General features: G+C 39.3%; 1 pseudogene; it reads right to left on the bottom strand.

Moving 5' to 3' along the window:
• On the bottom strand, nt 8,244–9,602 carry HNRNPA1P60 (heterogeneous nuclear ribonucleoprotein A1 pseudogene 60; annotated as a pseudogene).

Genomic DNA, 19,917 nt, shown 5'->3' on the forward strand with positions numbered 1-19,917 from the left:
GAGAGAGAGACAGAGAGAAAGAGACTGTAGCAATACTACTTTGACCTTGATCCAGGATAAAGAGTTTGGCCTGAGATGGATGAGAAATCATGGGAGGGCTTAAGCAGAAGGTGTAGAGCTTATAAAAGGTATATTGTGAAAATTATATTATATATAAATAATGATAGTTTGCCTGTTTCCATTTCAATAAGAATTGTATATTGTTGCTTTTTATTTTTCTTGTTTTACCCCATTATCTAGGGTTTCTGGTTAAATGTTTAATGGAAGTGGTATTATCAGGAATTTTTGTTTTAATCTTCATCAAAAATGGAAGCTTTAAACTTAATTCTAATACTAAATGTTAATCTTATTCTAGACTGGATATTGGATATTGGACTGGTAATTACACTACTAAATTTGATATTTAAACTAAATCTTTTGTTGACACTCTTTTTTGTTGTTGTTAAGTCTTTGGAAGTTTCCTTTTATTACTGATGTGCCAAATTCTTTTTTAATCACAAATAGATTTTGGAATTCATTAAACTTTTTTCAGCCAAAAGAAAGCTCCATGGTATTTTAAAACTTAATTTGAGTGCTATTTGCTCCTGGCTTTCTAGTTCTTTGACCTTGCACAAGTAAACTGAACTATCTGCGTCTTAGTTTCTCAAACTGCAAAACAGGAATAATAACAGTATTTACATCATAGAGGTGTTTGGGGATTAAACAATATAAAATCATTAACATAGTATGTAGCACCTGGTTAAGGGCTCAATAAATGGTAGCTGTACACAATATGCTACGTGCCAGCATAGTGTGCTATTTTTATGGCTCAGTTTCCACCTGAAGTTCTATATATAGCTGGAGGAGACTCCAGCTATATTCAAATTCCTCTCAACTAGTTCAGGAAATCGTTAGAGGAATCATGCACATACTCACATAGAGGGCCTTTGCCATCTCAGTTGCATATCCACTAGAATTGGCCAGCCCAACTGCCATTTGGTATCCTCCAGGGCCTCTTCTTCTCTGATAATGGTTCCATGGATTCTCCAAAATGGCAAGCCCTATTAGCCTACTGAACAGTGGCTGCTTTGTCCCTTCCAGTGGGGGACATGCCAGGCTGCTGCCTCTCAGACTGTCAGTTGAGCTGCAGCCACCATCAAGCTCAAGTGGGGCAAACATCCTCACTTTCTCCCCTTTGGAAAGAAACTGCCAAGAGAGTGATTACTTGACCTTCCAGATCCCTGTAGAACTTTCTGTGTTACTATTTTATTGTATTATATTATAATTTATTTCAGTGACACCTGTTATAAGGTGATACAGTCCACTTGTACTCTGTGAGCAAACCTGTTCACTGGCCCTCTACTTGGCCTCTGCTCTCTACTTGGCCTCTGCTCTCTACTTGGCCTCTGATGCCCTTCCCTTCACCCAACTTCTATCCTGGTTTGTTCCTTAGATGAGTTTTTTCAAAGTTGTGTTGAAAAAACTTTAGTTCACTTCTTCAGACATGCCCCATAAAAGAAAAGTGCTCTTGATTAAATCCCTTTTTCTTTTTACATCTCCATTTCATAGACTCATAGTGCATATCAGCATAGAAAGACCCCAAAATATGTTCTAGCAAGAAGCACTCTTTCACTTGGCTTAATCCAGTATTTCATAAGCCTATTTAAACACAGAATGATTTTGATCTCTCTGATGAAGAATCCATATTCAATAAATGTTGTTTGAGGAATGCTGCATTTCATGCCTTCCCTACTTCCAGGGATAATAAGCTTTTAAAATTTAGTTGTTACCTTACTTCTTTCAGTTACAATAAATATCAAAGTAGTGCAGATTTTTTTTTTTTTGATCTTCTAGGGGTTAGTCCTATTACATAATGAAAATAGACTGCCTGCATTAGAGTCCTGAATCCATTACTTACTTGCTACGTAACTGGGCAAGTTACTTTATTTGCACCTCAGCTTCCTTGTATGTAGAATGAAGATAATTGATAGTATTTTTTTCAATAGGGCTATAGTGATGATTAAAAGATATCATGTATAGAAAGCGAGTTCCATATATTCTGCTCATAGAAGTTAGTTGCTATTATTGTAACTATTATATGATTATTATTACAATTATTATTCAAAATGAAAGAGCCAACGGTTAAGGCCTATAAATCTTTCTTTTATATACAATTTTTCTTGAGACAAAATTGATCAATACTAGATTTGTCCAGCTTGATTTAAACGTCATCCTGTTTTTGTTTTAAATCAGCATGGCTCAACAAAATCTGATTTTAGAATTTATGTGATATTGTACTTATGTATCACTGAAATCAGAAGTTATGTATCACTGATATGAGAAGAGTGTTAACTAAATGTCTTGCCTCTTTCATTCCTATCTATGTAATACGTTATGACAATTACATTTGCTATCTTACTAGTGTTAATGCCAAAATAGAAAAACCCAATGTTGATAGTACTATTTAAAATATAGTTATATGCATTTAGTATACTCCAGCCGCTACACATCAAATATCCCTGAAAAAAAAAGTATTGGAGAACTGTAAGCCTCATGTTAGCCAATTGTTTATTCTAAGCACTTAGAATCCTCTAGTTATTAGTTCATATTATGTTCAAGAGAGCTGTGTGTGTTGAGTAGGAATGAGCATTAATCTCATTTTCTAAATGAAGCCTTCAATGCATATGGAAATTTTATTTTTATATTTCTGATGATGGAAGAGGAAAGACACAGGCTAGTTATCAGGGTGGAGGAAACCATGATTAGGACCTTTCCAGGATTAGCTGTTACTATTAAGGGTCTTTTGTTTGGGAACTCAGAGAATAGGAGTGGCAACTCTTTAATCCCAGTCACCAGACAGTGTGTACAAAACAGGATCTTCTACTTTATAAAGGAAACATAAGGCCAGTGAAATAGGGAAGATCAGGGTTGAATTGAATAGGGATACAGTTTATCACAAACTAAAATTTAGTGATAGAAGAGACATATGTCCCATAAGTTCCCTAAATCTTGCTCTGTATGTCAGTCTTCCTTAAGTTATGTATATATTACAAATAGGAGAAAAGCAGGTTAGATCCTCTATTCAGTGTCTTCTGCCTTTCCTTGCAGGCAGCTGCCCAAATAGGAGGGATTCTGTATATAAGAAAATATTCTAAAAGCTATCCTTGAAAACTTAAACTTATTCTAATGGCAAATGTACATCATACCATACAATCATTTAATAATCTGTTTTACTGTTTTTATAAAACTCTTGATTTACAAGCAATAAGCTTTTGGGCAAGGGTTCTTTTGGCTAATGTAATGATGGAAGTGATTTTATGATGCACACAGCACAAGGGCTCCTTACAGAATTGTTATTGTTAATATTATTATTTTTGGCTGAATTTCTTGGCTACATTCTCTTTATCCTTGAACAGAATATGATTTTCTTACGATTGGGAAGGGCAGGAGTCCTGAGAAGATTATTTAACCTCCAGTAGGCAGGGCTGTACCTATCTTGTTCACCACTGAATCTCCAGGGCTGGATATATGCCTGGAACCAGAGAGTCTCAGAAAATATTTGTTGAATAAACGGATGAAGGAATGAGTAGATAAAATGTTTTCTCCTTGAATTATCCAAATAAGCTACTTAGAATTCAAATTACTGAATAATTTTTCAGTCCTCCACTTTGCTTGGACACTGAAAATTGCTTTTTGAAAAGTCAAAAATTAATTTGGAGCCCTTTTCAAGAGCAACTTTTTCTAGAATCCAATGTATAATATAAATATAAAAGATGTCTTATTTCCTATCTATTGCTATCTTCTTAAGTTGCCAAAGGCAAGAAGACAAGTATCTCTCAAATGCAATGCAGACAAACTGCCTACTGCTATTTAATGAAAAGGAAACAAAATTGATCTTACATTGTACTTTTATATAAATAAAAATATTATTTAAACCCTCAAGCCAGAAAACTTCCCTAGAGTAATATTGAATGATTCCTTGGTATTTCTTTCTTTACAAAAATATCAATATCAACTCTCTATAATATATGAATTTTATCTTCTTTTTCCCAAAGTCAAACCAGAAAATAATTGTTAGTATATATAATATACATAGCTCTTTATTGCTGGAGTTCTTCTCAAAAACTTGTACTCTGAGATTTACCTCAAAGGCAATAAAAATAAAGTTATAAAAATATTTTATTTGGCAATATATTTTTTCCTGCTGTTTCACAGAACCAAAGAGTGAGAAAAAGACTCACTGGAAATGCATTTGTTAATAATTTACACATAGAGTATCATGGAATATTTTTCCTACAAATAGCTTTATATTAGAGATGAATCTTCCTATAGCTTCTAATTCAAACCATGTATTCTGGATTTAATATTAGGAGTCACTCTTAACTATCTCACATGAAGGACAGGGAATAGATCAAAGATGTCTCTGATAATAATGGAATATAGTTATAAAAAGAAGAACCAAAATCAAAAGAAAGATTGCCATAGCCTTCAAAATGTATAAAATTGACATTGGGCTTGTTGCTTTGGATAGGTATAAACTCAGGTTAAAAAGTTTTTTATGAAAAAGAAAGAATCTATAAAATCTCAAGCAAAGCTACATTTCCCAGCTTTATTTGTTTTACCATTATTGACATCCAAAACACAAGTCACACATCAGCTTTGGAGATTAAGTCTCACTCTGTCCTTCTTGGTGTGTGTGTGAGTGTGTGTATGTGTTCTTCCCAAATTAAAGTAATAATTCTATTGCTTTGCAAAATACAAAACATAGGGATTATGGGAAAATGGCCAAGTTTATGGGAAAATGTGCTGGCTTATATATACCATTAGTCTCATTAATTTAAAGCACTTTTCTGTGCTGCTATTTTTCTATTCCCTATCCTTTCATTCAGAAAGCACATATGGAGGCTTCCATAAAAGTATGTCAGCAGCTCCTTTACTGAACCCTCTCTATGGACCCAGCACTGCCTTAGGCTTTATGAGACATGATTCTGGCACTCAAAGATCTCATATTCTAACTGGGATTAGTGGATGATATGGTTTGGAGCTATGTCCCTGCAAAATCTCATGTTGAAATATAATCCCCAGTTTTGGAGGTGGGATCTGGTGGGAGGTGTTTGGATCATGGTGGCCGATCCCTCATGAATGGCACAGTGCCATCTCCTTGGTGATAAGTGAGTTTATGACAGTTTGGGTTGTTTGAAAGTGTGTGGCACCTCCCTCCTTGCTCTCTTGCTTCTGCTCTGGCCATGTGATATGCCTGCTCCCGCTTTGCCTTCTGTCATGAGTAAAAGCTCACTTAGCCCTCCCCAGAAGCCAAGCAGATGCCAGTGCTATGCTTGTACAACTTGCAGAACCATTAACCAATTAAATCTCTTTTCTTTATAAATTACCCAGTCTCTGGTATTCCTTTACAGCAATACAAGAATGGCCTAATACAGAAAATCAGTACTTAGGAGTGGGACATTGCTATAAAGATACTTGGAAATGTAGAAGCAGCTTTGGAACTGGGCAATGGGCAGAAGTTGGAGGAGTCTGGAGGACTCAGAAGAAGGCAGGAAGATGAGGGAGAGTTTGAAACTTCTTAGAGACTGCTTAAATAGTTGTAACCATAATGCTGATAGTGATATGGACAAGTGAAGTCCAGGCTGCTGAGGTCTCAGACAGAAATGAGGAACTGATTGGAAACTGGAGAAAGGTTACCCTTGTTATTCTGTAGCAAAGGACTTGGTGGTTATATTGTGTCCATGCCCTAGGGCTCTGTGGAAGTTTGACATTAAGAGTGACAACCTAGGGTATCTCGTGGAGGAATGCAGTGAAGCATTCAAGATATGGCCTGGCTACTTCTAACATCCTATAGTCAGAGGCAGGAGCAAAGAAATAACTTAAAATTGGAATTTATATTTAAAGGGGAAGCAGAGCTTAAACGTTTGGAAAATTTGCAGCCTGGCCATGTGGTAGAAAAAGAAAGCCCATTTTTCAGGGGAAGAATCTAAGTGGGCTGGGGAACAACCGCTTGCTAGAGATATTTGTATGGGTAAGAAAGAGCCAGGTGCTGATAGCCAAGATAATGGGAAAAAGGCCTGAAAGGAATTTCAGAGGTCTCTGAGGCAGCTCCTCCCATCACAGGCTCAGAGGCCTAGGAGGGCTGAATGGTTTCATGGGCCAGACCCAGGGCCCCATTGTCCTGTGTAGTCTTGGGAAACTGCTCCCACATCCTCGCTGTTCCAGCTCCAGCCATGGCTCAAAGGGTCACAGATACAGCTCAGGCTGCTGCTTCAGAGGGTGCAAGCCATAAGCCTTGGAGAGTTCCATGTGGTGTTAAGCCTGTGGGCATGCAGAGTACAACAGTGAAGGAGGCTTGGCAGTCTCTCTATAGACTTCAGAGGATGTATGAGAAAGCCTGGGTGCTAGGCAGAAGACTGTGGCAGGGGCAATCCCTCACAGAGAACCTCTACTAGGGCAGTAGTATTGAGGGGGAAATGTGGGGTTGGAGGCCCCATGGAGACCCCACTGGGGCACTGCCTACTGGAGCTGTGAGAAGGGGACCACTGACCTCCCAACCCCAGGATAGTAGATCTACTGGCAGCTTTACATCTTGAGCCTAGAAAAGCTGTAGGCACTCAACTCCAACTAGGAAGTGCAGCCTTGGGGCTGAACCCTGGAAAGCCACAGGAGTGGAGCTGGCCAAGGCCTTGGGAACCCATCCTTGCTATATTATGTCTTGCATGTGGGACATGAAGTCAAAGGAGATTATTTTGGAGCTTAAAGATTTAATGACTTGAAGATTTAATGGAGCTTAAAGATTTAATGGGTTTCAGACTTGCGTGGAGCCTGTAGCCCCTTTGTTTTGGCCAATTTCTCTCTTTTGGAATGGGACTGTATACCCCATGTCTGTACCCACACTGTGTCTTGGAGGTAAATATATATTTTTTAATTTTATAGGCTCATAGGTGTAAGGTACTTGCCTTGTTTCAGACTTTGGACTCTGGACTTTTTAATGAAGCTGAAACAAATTGTGGCTCTTGGGGAACTATTGGCAGGAGATTATTATATTTTGCAATGTGAGAAGAACATGGGATTTGGGGGGCCAGGGGCAGAATGATATGGTTTGGATCTGTGTCTCCACCAAATCTCATGTTGAAATATAATCCCCAGTGTTGGAGGTGGGGCATGGTGGGAGGTTTTTGGATCATGGGGGCAGATCTCTCATGAATGGCTTAATTGCATCTCTTTGATGATGAGTGGGTTCATGCAAGATTGGATTGTTTAAAAGTGTGTGTCACCTTCCTCCCCCTCTTGCTCCTGCTCTGGCCATGTGACATGCCTACTCCCACTTCATCTTCTATCATGAATAAAAGCTCCCTTAGGCCTCTCCAGAAGCTGATCAGATGCCAGCACCATGGTTGTACTGCCTGCAGAACTGTGAGCCAAATCAATCTCTTTTCTTTATAAATTATCTAATTTCAGATATTCCTTTATAGTCAGGCAAGAATGACCTAACACACTGGACGTGCAAGGGAGACACCGGTAAACAAAGTGATACTGTCAAAAACCAAGTGCTCACATAAAAAAACAAATAAGGATCCAGAGGAGATGGAAGGTGTGCTTCCATTTCTAAGCCCTTGTTCATGCTTTTTCTTCCACTTTGAAAGCCACCCTCTTCCTTTAGAAATCCTGCCCATCCTTAAAAACTGGCCCAATGCCATTTTCTTTAAGATGCCTTTCCTTATCACTCTAGTCAGATTGATCTCTCCCAGCCCTGTAGTCTTATCTTTTTTTCTGTACTAATTCTACGGACGTTATTACATATGGGTTCTTATTATAAATATTTACATATATTAGGAAAAAATATCTCCTTTGGTTCCCAAATGGCCAAAACCAGATTTTTTGTATCTTGGGATGTTCCACAGTATCAAAAACAGTGTCATTCATTTATTGAGTAGGTGATCAATATGCTCATTGAATGGATGATTATGTAATGAATGATTGAGTCACAGGATTTTGTATAAAAGCTACAAGGATATTTGTATTATTTATTACAGTTTACTAAGACCTTCCCCATATATTATATTTCTTAATTCTGTAAGGTAGTAATTATCATTGTCACCTTACATATCAGTTAACCAAGGATCAGAGAGGTTGAGAAACTTGTTTAACCTCAGAAAGCAAGTAAATGGCAGATCTGACATTTAAACCTAGGTCCTTTGGCTCCAGAAAAAAGTCCAGTACTCTTCCCATTTCCTCATTCTACTTTTTTTTTTTTTAAGACATTTATTCTGTTCAGCATCATGATCGGACTATTACATTTAGCAATCAACAACATGGTGCAGAAAAAAAAACATTAAAACCCTTTGTTGGAATGCCTTACACTTTTCACATAACAGAAACTAAAATAACCTGTTATACAATTAGTCACAAATACAGTCCTTGAGGTTTTTTGCCCATACACATGAATGTTTGTCTAAAACGTGTCTTCTTTGTAGCAGCTAAGCCCTGCCACCACCCTGCTTGACTGAGTTCACAAATTTGTTATAACCTATAGCTTCCCTGTCACTTATCTGGCTCTCCTCTCCTGCTAAGTTTTGTTTCCTAATTGAAATCTTCTGCCACTGCCATAGCTACTGCTGCTACTGGAACCCCCATAGCCACCTTGGTTTTGTGGTTTGGCAAAGTATTGGCCTCCACCACCATAGAGGCAAGATCTTTTGCCTCCAAAGTTTCCTCCCTTCATGGGTCCAAAATTTGAAGACTGATTGTTGCAATTGCCAAAATCATTGTAGCTGCTACCACCTCCAAAATTCTTTCCATCATTACCAAATCCATTATAGCCGTCTGCACTGCCACCATGGCTGCCACCAAAGCCACCACAACCACTGAAGTTTCCTCCATGACCAAAGTTGTCATTCCCACTGAAACCACCTCCACGACCACCACCAAAGTTTCCAGAACCACTTCGACTTCTTTGGCTGGACGGAGCACTAGCCATCTTTTGCTTTGACAGGGCTTTCCTAACTTCACAGTTGTGGCCATTCACAATATGGTATTTCTGAATGACAATCTTATCCGTGGAGTCATGGTTGTCAAAAGTTACAAAGGCAAAGTCCCTTTTCTTGCCACTGCCTTGGTCAGTCATGATTTCAATCACTTCAGTTTTTCCATACTGTTCATAATAATCTCTTAGGGGATGTTCTTCAGTGTCTTCTTTAATGCCACCAACAAATATCTTTTTCACTGTTAAGTAGGCACCTGGTCTTTGAGAATCTTCTCTTGAGACAGCTGTCTTTGGTTCCACAACTCTTCCACCCATCTTGTGTGGCCTTGCATTCATGGCTGCATCCACCTCCTCCACAGTGACATAGGGGACAAACCCAAAGCCCCTGGAGCGATTGGTGTTTGGATCTCTCATTACCACACATTCAGTGAGCGTTCCCCATTGCTCAGAATGGCTCCTCAGGCTCTCATCTGATGTTTCAAACCTCAACCCTCCAATGAAGAGCTTCCTTAGCTGTTTGGGCTCTTTAGGAGACTCTGACTTAGACATGATGGCAGGGAGAAGAGAGACTTTATCAATGCTTCCTCAGCAGCATCCACGGACAGAAAGGAGTAAGCTGACAAATGTATCTCCTCATTCTACTTCTTATAGTTATTCACTATAGGGTTTATTTAAATGAATTTAAAAGCCTTTAGTAACTGGAGATTATAAGGAGTGTGAGGAAAGACTATTGAGGCTCTGAGTATTCTTAAAAGGCTAATACACCAACTCATTTGTATATGTTTTAATGAATCCGATGCCATTTTAAGAACCAGTATCACCGATGTTTCACTGGATGTCTCAGATTGAGGATCTCTTCAAATGATACAGCTCTTTATCTCTCTTCAGAAAGCAGCTGTTGGGTTCTTCATCTTGTTGCAGGAATTTTTTTTTTTTTTTTTGCAAATATCAAACCTGCATTCATAAGTTAAAGTGTTGTGATATTTAATACATCAGTTGATGTTTTTAATAAATAAGGCTCTCTGCAGCTTTTCTGTTATGAATCACAGTCTTCAACATTCATCCGAACGATGGATATTCGGCATGCCTTAAGTTCAAGTTTTTTGTTCTCTTATAGCCAAGTGGCTACAAAATAATAGTATCAATCTACTTCAAAGGCAGTCTGATAGAGTGTAAAAGGGCTTCACTTGGGTTCAGAAGATGTGAGTCAAGACATGAGTCAACTGTCCTTTCTTCCATTGAAAGGAGCTGTGTGATGCCAGGCAAATCCTTAATGGACGTGGGTCTTCTTTTCTCCATCTATGGAATGAAGGAATTGAAAAGTCTGATCTTTAAACTCCTTCCAGCTCTAATGTTCTAGGATTCATTTGGTCTTTTGTTGAACAAGAAAGCCCTATGCTTCCAAATGGTTATAGGAGCATTAATTTTAGACGATTAAAGACATCTCTCCTACTCGCAGGTCATGTGAGATTAAATAAATCGCTTAAGCTCTTCCTTGGTTTACTCATCTGAAAGGCAGGTATAATAATAACTACTATACAAGATTTTCAAAAGATGTTATAAGAAAGGCCTTTGTAAACTTCAGTATACCGTACACATATTCTTGGCTGCCTGCTGCTCAAATATAAAATGCAACTTTGTAATATAAAAAATCTGAAATGATAAGAAAACATAATTCTAAGTATTCTTCTCGTATCCGTTTTTAATTATTTATTGTCATATAATATTTGATAAATACACGATAATATATATAACATATATGGAAGTTTTGCAGCATAATAATAAAATGAAAACTCATGACCCTACCACCCATCCTAGGTACTAAACCATTCTCAACATCAATGAAACAGCCCTGTATGTTTTTCTCTGATCCAACCCTCTACTTTCCTACTAGAGTTTGCATTTTTAACCATCTAAAATATGTTTACCACATATGTATGTATTCCTGAAGAGTATGTTATTTAGTTTTGCTTGTTTTTTTTTCCTTTGGTTAAAAAATGACATGATAGTGTATGTAGTCTTCTGAGACTTTCTGTTTTTCCCCACTTAAGGTTATATTTTTATCATTAAGCTGTATTGTATCTTGTACACCTAGATCATACATTTTTGCTGTTGCATAATATTCCATTCTGTAACTCTGCCACATAGTATTTATCCATTTTCATGAAAGTGAACAGTTAGGTTGTTTGCAGTGCTTTTACTGTTGAAACCATAAAACTAAAGCAGCCATGAGCAAGGTGTACTCTCCTGGTGCACATGAATAATTGTTCCCGCTTCCATCTATGCTTAATTTTTCTCCTTAATATTTCTTACTATTTAGCATTATGGGCGCATGCACCCACACACATACATAACATATCTCAAGGTTTTGTATATAAGTATATACAGGCATACACGCACATGCACACACACTAGTCAAAAATCAAAAATCCACAGGTGCTCAAGTACCTGATATAAAATTGCATTTGCACAAAAAATTAGCTGGGCACGGTGGCGGGCACCTGTAGTCCCAGCTACTCGGGAGGCTGAGGCAAGAGAATGGCATGAACCCGGGAGGCGGATCTTGCAGGGATCAGAGATTGCGCCACTGCACTCCAGCCTGGGCGACAGAGCAAGACTGTCTCAAAAAAAAAAAAAAAAATTGTATTTGCATATAACATATGTACATCCTCCTGTGTACTTTAAATCATCTCTAGATTACTTTTAATACCTAATACAATGTAATGCGATGTAAATATATATATTCACACACGCACAAATAATTAGCTGGATTCACAGTTGGAATATAATATTTTTGTCTATTTTTTCCCTGCTGTATTCTCAGTACCTAGAAAAGGTACTCAGAAAGGGCTCAGAAAATATTGAATGGATGAATTAACGAATAGGGTTTTGTTGCTTGATTGTTAAATAAATAAATTATCATGTTAGGACTTACTGTTGATGCAGAAATCATCATGGAATATTGAAAAGACACTGAATAAGTGTCTTCTCTCTACATTCAGTTATTCAGTGTGCTTAGGTTATAGTCCCAGATCTGCCACCAACTAGCTGTGAAACTTTGGGCAAGTTACTCAATCTTTCTGATTCTGATTATGAATATTTATATGAAGTTAATAGTAATTTCTGTGTATTGTGATGATTGGCATGTGATATTTATACAAATGCTTTATGAACCATGAACTGATACATAAGTACATGCTGGTTGTCATTATTCCTATGGTAAATGTTCCTCACATTTACTGAGATTTAAAAAATAAGCATGAAGTTACTTGGTTTCACGTCAAGAATTTTTGAGGTTGGGCAAGCAGACTAAGAGAAAAATAAGAGACTGGAGAGAGTGAAAAAGCCCAGCTCTGGGGGCCTAATCTGGTACACTTTGTTTTGGATGTGCAGTACCAAGCTTTTGCTGCAAAATCAAGCTATTTTTAACCTCAAGTAAGCATAAAGAATCTTTTTTAAAGTAGGGCAACCAAGATAGTGTGTTACCCTTTCCAATAAGCCTGCCTAAATGAAATATTCATCTTTTATGTCAAAATAAGAAGTGATATATATAGTTGAGCACTAAGAAGGGATAGAGTCTTCTGAGGGTGAATCCTTCAAAAGTCCTGCATATAAAATAACTATAGCAGAAATATCCATTAATATTGAATTAAATTTCTACATTGTAGATAAATGAGATTTTCTCTTTTTTTCTTTTATCTCAGACTCTCATGAACGGGCAAAGGCAGAGGTGGTGATGTCTGAGAGAAGTTTTTTACCTCCCTGTTTCCAGAGTAGTGCAATGGAAAAAACACCCCTGGATTTGTGCTGCTCAAAATTAATAGCTTTGGCCTCCACTTTATCATCTGTAAAATGGATTAATAAGAGAATATTGTCCCACTCCTAGTGGTGTAAGAATTAAGTATAATAATGTGGGTGAAAGCCCTGTGTAAACTGTACAGCGGGATGCAGATGCTGATGTTATGAGATCAGGATCAAGAGACCGAAGCTCAAAGCAAATGTGTGTATTTGTATTCTGAGAACCAGACCCTGGGGAAAAGCATGAAGTGAGCCTTTTACCACTGACTTCTTCCTGTCGCCCGTGCCTTTTTTTGTTGTTGTTTGTTTGTTTTTTTGTTTTGTTTTGTTTCCGAGACAGAATCTTGGTCTGTCGCCCAGCCCAGAGTGCATGGCGCGATCTCGGCTCACTGCAACCACCACCTCCCAGGTTTAAGCAATTCTGCCTCAGCCTCAGAGTAGCTGGGATTACCGACGCACGCCGCTACGTCCAGCTAATTTTTGTGGGGTTTTTTGTTTGTTTGTTTGTTTTAGTAGAGACGGGGATTTCACCATGTTAGCCAGGCTGGTCTCAAGCTCCTGACCTCGTGATCCGCCCACCTTGGCCTCCCAAAGTGCTGGGATTACAGGCGTGAGCCACCGCGCCCAGCCGCCCGTGCCTTTTATGAGGTCTTCCTTCTTTCTCCCTCATCTCATCTTTCTCATGTGTTCCTGGCACTTCCGTTTAGCCACTTACTGAAGGTCTTCTTCAGCACAGACTTGGCAGTTTTGTTTCCCTGGAACCGAAGTCCCCCCTGCCCTACGCATCTATCCTGTGTTCCCTTTCCCCCACAGTTTTGGCCCTGGCCTCTCCTTCCTAAAGCAATATCAAGGACAGCAGAGGGGGAGCCCAAAGCGTTATTTGGCTTCATGTTCACTCAGAGCCGCAAGTACTGAGTTTTGATACAATCTCTGGTTGAGTTTTGCATGGTCACAGAGATCCACTGATAAGACTGAGGAAGAAAAGGTCCACCTTTTCTTTAAAAAGCTAAACTAAAGCTTTAACTTTTTTACAAGTTGCACACAGGTGTTTTGACATTTTTACATATGCCAGGAACCATTTGGAAAAAGCACAGGCCTCTCTCACTCTTTGACAAGGTCTGGGTGATAGAGTTACTATGAGATCATTGTTAATAGATGCTCATGGAGTAGTGTCTATGGTTTTAATTCCGTGTTTCATAGTCACAGTGAGAATTTCAATAGATCAGTTAGGAGAAGAAACAGTGGATTCCTTAAGAAAAAAAGAGGTGTTTAAAAACTTTTTTTAAAAAATGAAGTATGAATAGCCATGTATGGATTGGAGCTGGAACGGAAAGCCAGCTCTAGGGGCCTTCTGCCTTCTTGACTCTCTCTTTTGGCCCCATATAGTTTCTCTCTTACTGTCTCAGCTTCTCTCCACATTCTTTTCCATTCGCTTCTCCGTATTTCCTGAGCCAAATTCCAGAGGAACTTAGCTTGGCTAGCTTAGCTCATTCTACTGCCATTGTTGGGTGAGACCCTTTGAATAAAGCCACCCACTGGTTTCCGGTCCACCTACTCTTGATTCAACCAGCAACCAGTGCTTTGTGGTGAACAACCTGGCCCTGCCTCCGTGGGAAGAGCTGAGAGTCTGCAGGTTTCCAGTAGAACAGAAATATGAGTAACAGATCCAGGACACCAAAGTGTCAGGTCCCATTGAGCATGAAGGAGAGAAATTGCTTTGAGCAGATCAATGTCTCAGCTTGAAAGGCCCCCGCAAGACACAACTGCACAGCCCCATTTCCTCCCACCTCTACCATGAAAGATTGTTCCTGCAGATTAGACATAAGTCTGTCTCTCAAATATGTATTCCATTTCCCAAAGACTCCAAAAAGTGGGCAAATCATTCTGGTCTTGGGGCTGAAGTGGGAAGGCTCTTTTTTCTTTTTCTTTTCTTTTTTTTTTTTTTTGAGACAGGGTGTCTCTCTGTTGCCCAGGCTGGAGTACAGTGGTGCTATCTTGGCTCACTGCAGCCTCTATCCCCTGGGCTCTAGTGATCCTCCCACCTCAGGCTCCCAAGTAGCTGGGACTACAGGTGCACCACCACAGCTGGCTAATTGTTAAAATCTTTTTTGGTAGAGGTGGGGTTTCTCCATGTTGCCCAGGCTGGTCTTGAACTCTTGAGCTCAAGCGATCTGCCCGCCCTACCCTCCCAAAGTGCTGGGGTAACAGGCCTAAGTTACTGTGCCCGGCCGGAAGGCTCTTTCATAAAAATAAAGCAGCTCAAAGGAATTCACTTAAGATTGTTAGAATTTGGATCCAATATTGAATTTTTTTTCCATCTCAAATCCTAGATCCTATTCTTCCGCTTGCCAGTTGTGGAACATTGAAAAAGTTATTTAAGTCTCAGTGGTTTCATCTGTGTAATGGCCGTAATGCTAGTATCCACTTCTACATTTTTGTGAGGATAAAATGAGAGAGCACATGGAAATGCCAAGCTTAGTTCCTGGCACATAGCAAGTATTCAATAGATTTCACCTGTTTTTATTGCTTCTGCTTGATTGCCTCATTTATTATCTCTCCAAATATGTCATTTAATCAACATTTTTTGAAGGCTTACTCTGAGAGATATTTCACTGAAGCACTTAAGGCACCCCAAAATTACTTAAAATACCCAAAATGAAAGTGATTTAAAAATTTTAACAACCATCTTAACAACCATTAGCATTTACACTAATGTTTTCAGCAAAGTCTTTCTCTACAAATGCAGAATCTTATTATATAATATGAGTAAATTCTGGTATGCTCTAAGCTACAAACTAAATAATCTTTTTAAGTTTATAATTGTGAATCTATGTAACTGAGATGGAATTTTATTCAAAAAGTAATTTTTAAATAATGATAAAAGTTCATAGCATTGAAATAGATTGAGAAATTGTGCTGAAAGAGACAATGTCAAACTTTAGAAAGCACACACAGCTTAAAAGTTATGAATCTGTGTAATTTTTGCATGACATTTCTTCTCAAAATAAATATAACACTTTTTTTCTCTTGAATGAAAAATTCTGTGCTAACTCATATCCTCCCAAACATTTCTTGCCCACAATAACTTATCAGTGTGTGTACAGGATGGAGGAAAAAAATGCTAAGGAAGTAGTTTTCAGTTTCAAGTTTCCAAAGGGTTATTATAAACAACCATCAGTGTGTTTGAACAATGGGGCTTTTTAGTTAATTTAATTTTTTGCTTACCTTTGGATTGGCCTAAATACTTTTTCATTTTAATCCATGCTAAAATGCACTGGAGTATGGTTAACATAAATGAATCTTAGATAGTTTGGGGCGCTGGGTCATGAGCAAGAATGCTAATTCTCACATAGGCATTCAAAAAACTTTTGTTGACTGAATGTGCTAAACTGTACATGTACATGGTCCATGGGCAGAGGATGTGTTAACTGAAGGACATCTCTAGAACAAGGCTTTCAAACATATTTTAGAGAAACCCACATTAAAAAAAATTTTTTTCTATCACAACCCATTACCAATAAATATACGTGTGTGTGTGTATTCACATAAAGAGTTGAGACAAAAATTTTGCAAAAATATAACTACCAGCTACAAAGTATTCTGATAATTATCTTTTTAAAATTGTCTTTCATTTTTCAAAAGGGATGCTATTTGTGACTTACTGAATTGGTTTTATGATCTACCAGTGGATTATGACCTGTAGTTTGAAAAACATTTTTAAAAGCATATTTCTTACATTAGCATGCGTTGTTATTTTGCATAATTTACCTAAGCATTGAACCCTGAGAAAAAAGCTTTTGTGGTTATTTTCTTTTGTAGATTTTTCCAACTTTGGAAAATTGGAACTAAATTTCTTGGTTAATACTGATTTTTAAATTTAGATTAACTTAAATTAGCTTTTGGTTACTGTACTTCAAAAACAATCTATTCCAAAGACCTGAATTTAAAGAAATTGCTTAAATTTGTTTTACCAAAGTATCCAAACATGAAATAATAGGTTTACACCTATCTGAAACATGAAATAATTCAATGATTAATGAAAGCCTTTAAAAAATAGGAAATTATTAATTAGGGATTACAGTAAAAATAATGACCTTAAAGTGTCTGACATGCCGGGCGTGGTGGCTCACTCCTGTAATCCCAGCACTTTGGAAGGCTGAGGTGTGAGGATCCCTTGAGCCCAGAAATTCGAGACCAGCCATGAGCAACATGTTAAGACCCTGTCTCTACAAAAAAGTACAAAAATTAGCTGGGCGTGGTGGCGCACACCTTGGAGGCTGAGGTGGGAGGATCACTGGATCCCAGGATGCAGAGATTGCAGTGAGCCAAGATCATGCCGCTGCACCTGGGTGACAGAGCAAGACCCAGTTTCAGAAAGAAAAGAAAAGACAAGAAGATTAAAAACTAATCTGAGCCAGGTGAGTGGTGTGCACTCGTAGTCTCAGCTATTCAGAAGGCTGAAGTAGGAAGATCGCTTGGGTCCACGAGTTCAAGACCAACCTGGGCAATGTATCGAGACACTACCTTAAAACAAAACAAAACAAAGCAAAACAGCAATCAAAAAAACCCAATATGAGAAAAAAGTACCTCATCAAGCTACTGAATAACTTGAGCACACTCTAGCATCTGTTCTGTTGCTTATTTGTTTTTGCTTTTACTGGCATCAGGAATTATTTCTATAGTTCCTCTGGTATGTTCCCCTGACATGGGATATGCCAGGCACATGTTCTTAAAAACAATTTCTTAACATAAAGAAATTTCGCATTTCAAATCCTTAAGAGTTGGAGAACTTAAAATCTCATACTGGAATGAAAATTGCTTCTTCTGCTTTCAAAGGCCTTTTGATTAAGGGCTTACTTACTACCCTGTCTCTACTAAAAATACAAAAAGTTAGCTGGGCATGGTGGTGCACGCAGGTGGTCCCAGCTACTCGGGAGGCTGAGACAGGAGAATCGCTTGAACCCAGAGGCCAATATAGTGGGGGTGGGGGACAGAGATGGCTCTTAAAGGCAATGATTTGGCCAGTTGTCAGGTTCAGGAGAGTTCTATTAAGGAGACAAGCTCCCAGGTGTTTATTGGGTGCCTATGGAGTTTTAGCCAGTCTTCTGCTTCTAAAACTATTAAATATTAAGCTACCTTGGGATGCATTGCAGAACCTCATTTTATTTTTCCCCTGTGGCTTCCATGTGGCCCTTTATATGGCCTAAGTGGGGCAGTTATGAACCACATCCCCTCTCACCAGGCACAGTGTGTTCCTGGTGCCGGAGAGGTGGTGGGGCAGGTCTGAAGTCTCATGGGAAGCAAATACTCAGTCCACATTGATTCCCAGGCCTGACTCAAAAGGGCTGTGTGATTTGAGGAATTACCCTCATTGTGCTTCCCCATTCTCAGAGAGTAAAACCACAGGGCAGTTCTGGCTGACGGGTTTGCACCTATCTGGTGTCTGCTCCACTGTTTCTGTCATGTTGAGTCACAGGGCATTCATTAGTGACTGCCTTGTGCAGTGCAATGATGTAGTGAGGAGTCCGTAGCCCTGGGCCTGAGTGGGTTGATCCTGGTGGGAATTTCAGTTGTGGAGCACTGGCTCTGTGAGGCTGGACACATTACTTTAGTCTTCCAAGCACCTTAAGTTTCTTCATCTAGAAAATGGAAACAATAGTATCTACCAAGTAAGCTTGTTGAGAAGATTAAATAAAAACTAACAAGTGGCTGGGTGCAGTGGCTCACGCCTGTAATCCCAGCACTTTGGGAGACTGAGGTGGGCGGATCACTTGAAGTCAGGAGTTCGAGACCAGCCTGGCCAACATGGTGAAACCCTGTTCTATTAAAAATACAAAAAATCAGCTGGGCGTGGTGGTGCACGCCGGTGGTCCCAGCTACTTGGGAGGCTGAGACAGGAGAAACGCTTGAACCCGGAGGTGAAGGTCGCAGCGAACCGAGATCGTGCCACTGCACTCTAGCCTGGGTGTCAGAGACTGTGTTTCAAGAACAACAACAACAGCAACGACAACAAAAGCTAACACGTATCAAAGGCTTGTGTGCCAAGTACTGTTCTAAGCACTTTTTAGCTTTACATGTGTTAACTCCATGAATATTTACAGCAACTCTATGAGGTAGTTGCTGTCATCATTTCCATCTTACAGAGGAGGAAACCAAGGTTGATTTGCATAAGATCACACAAGTAGGAGGTGGCAGAGCAAGGATTAGAATCCAGGCAGCCTGACGCCAGAACCTATGCTCTTAATGCAAAATATTCATGTAGGAATTTAGGAACATAAAACTGTTTTAAAATGGTTCTACTGCATCCAAAATTCATTCAATGAATATTCCACAAATGTTCCTCAGTGCCAACTGGGTGAGAAGCCCTGTGCCAGGTGCTGTGGGGAAGCAAAATTAAGTAAGACATCGTTGTTACATATAACAGAGAAGAAAGATTCAGTGGCACCCCTACAAGGGGAAGTAGTACAGGGTGATTGCTGCAGGAATTTGGGAGTGGGGGTTGGGCAGAGATTGGGAGTTCTGGTGTTGCCTCTGATTGGCTGAGGGTGGATAAAACGAGGGGAGAGGTCAAAGATATTGCTGAGACGTCAAGAAGGGTGGAAATCTGTCTGAAAACCAAAAGGATGAGAACTCAAAAAAAATGGTGATCCCATGAACAGCATGGAGGGATCCAGAGGCACTGGAGTGGCCAGGAGAGGAAATGCCAAGGTCACCTGAGGACCTCGTAGGACTCTGTGAGGTCCAGTGGGGTGGCAGGTGGTCCTGGTCATGCTCAGCTTCTCTGTATACCCCGAATTACATCATATAGACAGTGCTGTTATTGAGCTGAACATGCAATACGTGCTTGTTCGTCATTAATTCATTCCACAAGTGTTTAATCAGCATCTATTTTGTGTCATGTGCTCTTAGGGTCTGAAGCTTTCTCATCTCAGAGTTCACATTTACTGTGAATTTGGAGAGGGAAGCCTTTTAATCTATTAGTCTTCTAGGTTTTATCTTTTTCTTTCTTTTTTTTTTTTTTTTTTTGAGACGGAGTCTCGCTCTGTCACCAGGCTGGAGTGCAATGGTGCGATCTCTTGACCTCATGATCCGCCCGCCTTGGCCTCCCAAAATGCTGGGATTATAAGCCTGAGCCACCACGCCCAGCC

The sequence above is a fragment of the Homo sapiens genome, chromosome 11, assembly GCF_000001405.40.
Source record: "Homo sapiens chromosome 11, GRCh38.p14 Primary Assembly".
NCBI lineage: Eukaryota > Metazoa > Chordata > Mammalia > Primates > Hominidae > Homo > Homo sapiens.